Below are 7,667 nucleotides of genomic sequence, written 5' to 3' on the forward strand. Positions count from 1 at the left end.
AAAGTTGGGAAACGGCCGGGCATGTTGGCTCATGCCTGTCACCCCAGCACTTTGGGAGGCCAAGGTGGGCGGATCGCCTGAGGTGAGGAGTTCGAGACCAGCCTGACCAACATGGAGAAACCCCATCTCTACTAAAAATATAAAATTAGCCAGGTGTGGTGGCTCACGCCTGTAATCCCAACTACTCAGGAGGCTGAGGCAGGAGAATTGCTTGCATCTGGGAGGCGGAGGTTGCGGTGAGCCGAGATTGTGCCATTGCACTCCAGCCTGGGCAACAAGAGTGAAACTTATCTCAAAAAAAGTAAAAATAAAAATAATAAAAAATAAAAGTTGGGAAATATGACTACCTGAAAATGCATGAAAATGTACATATACATTTTTTTTTTCGAGATGGAGTTTTGTTCTTGTTGCCCAAGCTGGAGTGCAGTGGCGTGATCTCCGCTTACTGCAACCTCTGCCTCCCAGGTTCAAGTGATTCTCCTGCCTCAGCCTCCTGAGTAGCTGAGATTACAGGCACCTGCCACCACGACATTTCAAAGTTAATAAAGTGATCACCCTTATACCCACCATCCAAGCCCGTAAACAGCTCATCATTAAACACCAGGCAATTCACGTCTGTGCCTCACAGACGACATCTCCAGCCCCAAGAGGAAACCGCCATGGTTCATTTTGTATCATTCGCCCCCCTCGCTCATCTTTATGTTTGCAGCTATGCAGAAATCCCCAAATACCCTGTTTTCTAGTTTCGATGATGTTTATGCTGCGTATGATGGCATGGCATAGAATATTTCTTTGTGCCTTGCTTCTTTCAGGAAAAGAAAAGCTAAGCAGGTAGGGTGCAGGTGGCATTCATTCTTTCTTAGTTATATTCATTCCAGAGACCCTGGATCTGTATCTCACTTTAGAGATTATAAACATGCTGCTAACACCAATTTTGCAAAGCCCTCCCAATGAGCATTTTATGAAAGTCATTCTTGGCCGGGCGTGGTGGCTCACGCCTGTAATCCCAGCACTTTGGGAGGCCGAGGCAGGTGGATCACTTGAGGTCAGGGTTCAAGACCAGCCTGGCCAATGTGGTGAAACCCCGTCTCTACTAAAAATACAAAAATTAGTCAGGCATGGTGGCATGCACCTGTAGTCCCAGCTACTCAGGAGGCTGAGGCAGGAGAATTATTTGAGCCCAAGAGGCGGAGGTTGCAGTGAGCCGAGATCGTGCCACTGCACTCCAGCCTGGGCAACAGACAGAGTGAGACTCTGTCTCAAAAAAAAAAAAAATAGGCCGGGCGCGGTGGCTCATGCCTGTAATCCCAGCACTTTGGGAGGCCGGGGTGGGTGGATCACTTGAGGTCAGGAGTTCGGGACCAGCCTGGCCAACATGGCGAAACCCCATCTCTACTAAAAATACAAAACTTAGCCAGGCATGGTGCAGACATCTGTAATCCCAGCTACTTGGGAGGCTGAGGCAGGAGAATCACTTGAACAAGGGAGGCAGCGGTTGCAGTGAGCTGAGACTGCGCCACTGCACTCCCGTCTGGGCGACGGAGCGAGATTTCGTCTCCAAAAAAAAAGGAAAAGAAAAGAGAAACGCCACTGGTAAGAGCAGAGGTCCTCCTAGGCGCGCATTCTGCATGGCCCCAGCACTGTTAAGTTCAGCTTTCAGTGTTTGGGGAAGACCTGCAGGTCAGGGACCCCCACTGTGGCTGAGGGGGCTCAAGCTTGGCCCTTTCTCCCGGACCCCTGCTGCCTGCGTTTCCCAGCAATCTGCTGCTTTATCCTAGAATCTGGGTGACTCATGGCCCTCCCCATCCTGGAAGGAATGAAGAGGAGGAGGGGAGGCTGCTATGCCAGGACAGTCCCAGACCTTGCCAAGGGGCCTGGGTCCACTCCCACCCCCAGGGAGCGCTGTGCGGAGGAAAAGGACCATGGCTGAAATCAGAATCCCTGGATTCAACCGGGGGTGGAGGGGGCCGGGGCGGGAGGGGGGAAACATCTGTAGCTGAGGGAACACCCCTCCCGCCTCCAGTCGCTGAGGCTGAACTTAGCCGACTTTGGGGATTCCCCACCCTCTACCCCCAACTGGTCCTCAATTCTCACAGATGTAAACTGAGAATTTTCAACAATCGTTTTGGCAAACATACGCCAGGCCCCCTTCTGAGCGCTTTGCACCTATTAACTCATGCAACGCCTGCAACGCTATGAAGTGGCTGCTGTTATCACTACCATTTTACAGTGGGGGGAACTGAGGCACAGCGAGGCCAAGCACGATGCCCAAGATCACACAGCCAGCAGGTGGCCGGGAGGGGCTCGACCCCGTGCTGTCAGGCACCAGAGACTCGGCTCTTCAGCCCCAGGCCAGAGCCTCCCTGCACTGACGGGGTCGCGAATTCGGGCAGGAGGGTTCGTGTGTGTCCTCACCTCTGGGACGCGAGCTCCGGGGACGGGGGACCTCGTCTGGCGTGGGAGGCATTTAGTGAGCGCCGTGGACTGAAGCCGGGACGGTCTTAGGAGAACCACTTCCCTTCTTGGCCGCCTGAAACCCCCTACAGGGTTCTGCTTCTGGAACTGCATTCGAGGTCAGAGTTTCTAGTACGAGTAAAGCGGATCCTCGGGAAGAGACCCGACCAGAAGGAAATCGCCGTCTTGGAAGATCTAAGTCCGGGATGGAACAAAACCCACTCCGGGCGGGGGGAGCGCGCCACCTGGCGGCGGATCCTGCTAAGGCAGCGCCGCCCGGAGACCAGAAACGTTGGATTTGGGCAGTGGGCCGAGGTGGTTGGAATTGGCGAATGGGCAGTTGTCTGAAAATCATTGTGTGAAACTAAGGACTGTCTACCAGTGGCTTCCAAAATTCTGACGCACAGTAAGAAATCATTTTGCGTCAGCATTTTTTTTTTTTTTTTTTTGAGACAAGGTCTTGCTCTGTTGCCCAGGTTGGAATGCAGTGGCACGATCTCGGCTCACTGCAAACTCCACTTCCAGGGTTCAAGCGATTCTCCTGCCTCAGCCTCCTGAGTAGCTGAGATTACAGGCGCCCGTCACCGCGCCTGGCTAATTTTTTATTTTTAGTAGAGATGGGGTTTTACAATGTTAGCCAGGCTGGTCTCGAATTCCTGGCCTCAAGTGATCTGCCCGCCTCGGCCTCCCAAAGTGCTGGGATTGCAGGCATGAGCCACCGTGCCTGGCCGCATCAGCATACTTTTACAAAAGAATACCACCCTCTATAGCCAACAACAATGGATTGTATACTTCAAAATAGCTAGAACATTTTGCATGTTTCACCGCAAAGAAATGGCAAGCATCTGGGATGATGGATTTGCTAATAACCTTGATTTGATCACTGCACAATTTATATATGTATCAAAACATCACGCCGCATCCTATAAATATGTACAATTAAAAACAAAATTTAGGCCGGCTGCAGTGGCTCATGCCTGTAATCCCAGCACTTTGGGAGGCCGAGGTGGGTGGATCACCAGGTCAGGAGTCCCAGACCAGTCTGGCCAAGATGGTGAAACCCCATCTCTACTTAAAAAAAAAAAAAAAAAAAAATTTGCTAGGTATGGTGGCGGGCACCTGTAATCCCAGCTACTAGGGAGGCTGAGGCAAAGAACTACTTTAACCCGGGAGGCAGAGGTTACAGTGAGCCGAGATCGCGCCACTGCACTCCAGCCTGGGTGACAGGGCGAGACTCCGTCTCAAAAAAAAGAAAATTTTAGTTTTAAAAATACCACCCTGTATTACACGGCCCTGTATTACACGATGCTTTATATTCCACTCTATTCCTTTTTTTTTTTTGAGACAGAGTGTCACTCTATCACCCAGGCATGATCTCGGCTCACTGCAACCTCTGTCCCCCAGGTTCAAGCAATCCTCCTGCCTCAGCCTCCCTCAGCCTCCTGAGTAGCTGGGATTACAGGCTCCCGCCATCATGCCCAGCTAATTTTTGCATTTTTAGTAAAGACGGGGTTTCACCATGTTGGCCAGGCTGGTCTCGAACTCCTGTCCTCAGGTGATCCGCCTGCCTCAGCCCCCCAAGGTGCTGTGATTACAGGCATGAGCCACCAGGCCCGGCCTATTCCTATTTTTAAATGCTGGTCAGGTCACCTTAAAATGGTTTCCTGACTCTCTAAGGGTCTGGGATAGGGTTTTCCACTGTTCTAGATTATCCCCATGTTTTTTCACTTGACAGAGATTATGATGAGGAACCGGTTACACCCACGCTACCTCCCAGTGAGCCTTCCCCACCACACAAAGCTGCCTCCAGGATTCGCTGCCAGCTCTGATGTCAGGATGAGTAACAGCTCAGGATGCTGAAGACACTGGCCCAAGACCACACAGCCTGGATGTGGCAGTGCCTGTTTCTGCCTCACTCCTGGAGGAGGAAAATGATTAAATACCCGTAATTTCACTGCTATTGAGTACAATTTAATTCATCCTTCCTCCACTTTGGCTGATAAGATTGAGCTGCACTCACCTGCTGTTCTCTTAGGCTGTAGCATAAGGCATTCCAGAGGTCAAACTTTAAAATGTCTTTTTCACTTTGGGAGGCCAAGGCGGGAGGATCACTGGAGGCCAGGAGTTCGAGACCAGCCTGGCCAACATGGTGAAACCTCCATCTCTACAAAAAATACAAAAATTAGCCGGGCGTGGTGGCACACATCTGTAGTCCCAGCTGCTCAGGAGGCTGAGGCATGAGAATCACTTGAACCTGGGAGGTGGAGGCTGGAGTGAGCCAAGATTGCACCACTGCACTCCAGCCTGGGCAACAGAGCAAGACCCTGTCTCAAAAAAATAAAAAATCAAAAATCTAGGTTGAATTCTCAGGTGTCTCTAAAGTGGCCTTCGATGTATTCTGCGCTGGGTGCTGCAGGGTTGACCATCTAAAAGTGGCGAGCCCAGCCCCAGTCCAGGGGAAGGTAGAGGAAGTGAACCTGCTCATTGTAGGACTAGGACCCTTGAGGTGACAGAGAGCTGTGGTTAGCCTGAGTCCATCGCACTGTGGTGGTCTATGAGGCCGCTTTGCAGGGGCAGCAAATCAGAAGGCTCGGTCTGCTGTGCTTACTCTGCTATCTTTGGAAGGAAAGAGGAGGAAATCGCTCCGAAATGGGAGATAGGGCTGGTGGTCACGACTCAGCTCCACACCAAGATGAGACTTCCTGGGCCCCCAGGGAGGAAGAATAGCAGTTCCACTGCCAGGAGCCACGCCTCAGAGGAGCTGCCTTTCCACCTCCCTCCTGAAATGCCATTTTCAAATTTCTCCTTTACTCTTCCATCCCCAGAACCTAGTACAATATATGGCACATAGTACATGCTCAATAAATATTTATCAAATTAATGAGAAAAGATATGTGGATGTCCCCTCCTGTGCAGCTGTAAGGGGAGAAATAGAGTTCTTTTTTTTTTTTTTTAACTTTCCTACACCAGTTTTATTTAAAACACAAAAATAAGTATTTCTCTTTCTGTAAGGAAAAATGGCTCAAATATTGCTGAACACAGGCCAGACTCAGTGGCTCACGCCTGTATTCCCAGCACTTTGGGAGGTCGAGGTAGGAGCACACTTGAGGTCAGGGGTTCGAGACCAGCCTGGCCAACACGGTGAAACCCCCATCTCAAATACAAAAAAAAAAAATTAGCCAGGCATGGTGGCAGGTGCCTGTAATCCCAGCTACTTGGGAGGCTGAGGCAGGAGAACTGCTTGAACCCAGGAGGCGGAGATTGCAGTGAGCTGAGATTGTGCCACTGCACTCCAGCCTGGGCGACAGAGCGAGACTCCGTCTCAAAAATAAATAAATAAATAAATAAATAGAAAGAAAACACTACACTCCTTTCCATCTTTATCGCTGTCCTGCTAATAGTCACATGTAGTTCTGAGCATTTACTACTTGCCAGGTACTGTTCTGAGGCTTTCTGTGTATCAGTTCATTTTATTCTCACACAAACAAGTATGTACTATTATCAAGCCATTTTATTTATTAATTTATTTATTTTCTGAGATACAGCTTCACTCTTGTCTCCCAGGCTGGAGTGCAGTGTCATGGTCTCGGCTCCCTGCAACCTCCGCCTCCCAGGTTCAAGAGATTCTCCTGCCTCAGCCTCCGGAATAGGTGAGATTATAGGCATGTGCCACCACACCCGACTAATTTTTGTATTTTTAGTAGAGACGGGGTTTCACCATGTTGGCCAGGCTGATCTTGAACTCCTGACCTCAGGTGATCCGCCAACCTTGGCCTCCCAAAGTGCTGGGATTACAGGCGTGAGCCACCACGCCCAGCCACTGTTCTAAGGCTTTGTGTATAAATTCATCTTATTCTCACACAAAAAAGTATGCACTATGATCAAGCCATTTTAAGGGGAGGCTCAGGGTGCTACCTGGATTAGGAAGGTGGATGATAGATTATCTGTTTGGATTTGAACTTTTTTTTTTTTTTGAGACACTCTCACTCTATTAACCAGGCTGGAGTGCAGTACCATGATCTCGGCTCACTGCAACCTCCGCTTCCCAGATTCAAGCAATTCTTGTGCCTCAGCCTCCCGAGTAGTTGGGAAGACAGGTGCACATCACCATGCTCTGCTAATTTTTGTATTTTTAGTCGAGACAGGGTTTCGCATGTTCACCAGGCTGGTCTTGAACTCCTGGGCTCAAGTGATCCACCCACCTCGGCCTCCCAAAGTGCTGGGATTACAGGCGTGAGCCACCACGCCCAGCCTGAATTTTTAGAAGTTTTTATATAGCTTTGATACCAATGGATTAAATTTTGACAGGGCATTTGGCATGACTCAACTACAGGAAAGAGTTATCAAGGTGTTCTAAGCCCTCTCACTCCTACACCCACCCCCGCTGCAGGAAAGGGCCAAAGTCAGCTTTTTCTCTGTGACCCTGTGGCTGGAGTTAGGGCTGTCCATAAATAATCCTTCCTTTCTCTCCTTCCAGGCACATGAAAAGACTGCGCTTCCCGGCGACCCTTTGAAGTTCGGCGTAACCTGCTGACCCGCTCTGGCTGAGTGTGAGCTAAGAGGACAGGTGTCATATCAGGTCCAAGCCTCGAGAGTCACTGCCTGCTGTGCCATCCTCTCTTCTTCCCGTGCCAAAGGACTGGCAGCACTCCAGTGATGGCTGTGCCATGGGCCCGGGGTACACGAGTGATATGGAGCGGAGCGCTCAGCTGGCCCACAAAGGAGAGAAAACTCTGCTGCCTGAGGACCACAGAGAATCTGCAGCTGTGACTGCAGCACAGCCCAGCCTGCCCTGACCAACATAGCTCCAAGAGAGCCAGACACGTGGATCTCAGAGAAATGGATGAATAGGCTGGGTGCGGTGGCTCACGCCTGTAATCCCAGCATTTTGGGAGGCTGAGGTGGGCAGATCACCTGAGGTCAGGAGTTCAAGACCAGCCTGGCCAACATGGTGAAACCCCATCTCGACTAAAAATACAAAAATTAGCCGGGCGTGGTAGTGGGCACCTGTAATCCCAGCTACTCGGGAGGCTGAGGCAGGAGAATCACTTGAACCCAGGAGGCGGAGGTTGCAGTGAGCCGAGAACGTGACACTGTACTCCAGCCTGGGCAACAAGAGGGAAACTTCATCTCAATAAATAAATAAATAAATAAATAAATAAATAAGAACGCTGAATGAGTGAGTGAATGAATGAATGAATGAATGAATGGCA

At 50.3% G+C, this 7,667-nt stretch overlaps 5 annotated features.

Annotated features, from left to right (window-relative positions):
* Window positions 2,413-2,462: an enhancer, noted in NCBI's record as "active region_14877". NCBI's record gives its function as "activates an Ori minimal core promoter by ATAC-STARR-seq in GM12878 lymphoblastoid cells {active_cell/tissue: GM12878}" and the evidence as "EXISTENCE:reporter gene assay evidence [ECO:0000049][PMID:35858748]".
* Window positions 2,483-2,532: an enhancer, noted in NCBI's record as "active region_14878". NCBI's record gives its function as "activates an Ori minimal core promoter by ATAC-STARR-seq in GM12878 lymphoblastoid cells {active_cell/tissue: GM12878}" and the evidence as "EXISTENCE:reporter gene assay evidence [ECO:0000049][PMID:35858748]".
* Window positions 2,650-3,298: an enhancer, noted in NCBI's record as "H3K27ac-H3K4me1 hESC enhancer chr19:48794631-48795279 (GRCh37/hg19 assembly coordinates)". NCBI's record gives its function as "activates a minimal SCP1, AML or CMV promoter by ChIP-STARR-seq in naive and primed H9 embryonic stem cells {active_cell/tissue: H9 hESC(naive and primed)}" and the evidence as "EXISTENCE:reporter gene assay evidence [ECO:0000049][PMID:30033119]".
* Window positions 6,578-7,079: an enhancer, noted in NCBI's record as "H3K4me1 hESC enhancer chr19:48798559-48799060 (GRCh37/hg19 assembly coordinates)". NCBI's record gives its function as "activates a minimal SCP1, AML or CMV promoter by ChIP-STARR-seq in primed H9 embryonic stem cells {active_cell/tissue: H9 hESC(primed)}" and the evidence as "EXISTENCE:reporter gene assay evidence [ECO:0000049][PMID:30033119]".
* Window positions 7,080-7,579: an enhancer, noted in NCBI's record as "H3K4me1 hESC enhancer chr19:48799061-48799560 (GRCh37/hg19 assembly coordinates)". NCBI's record gives its function as "activates a minimal SCP1, AML or CMV promoter by ChIP-STARR-seq in primed H9 embryonic stem cells {active_cell/tissue: H9 hESC(primed)}" and the evidence as "EXISTENCE:reporter gene assay evidence [ECO:0000049][PMID:30033119]".

Source organism: Homo sapiens, chromosome 19, assembly GCF_000001405.40.
Source record: "Homo sapiens chromosome 19, GRCh38.p14 Primary Assembly".
NCBI lineage: Eukaryota > Metazoa > Chordata > Mammalia > Primates > Hominidae > Homo > Homo sapiens.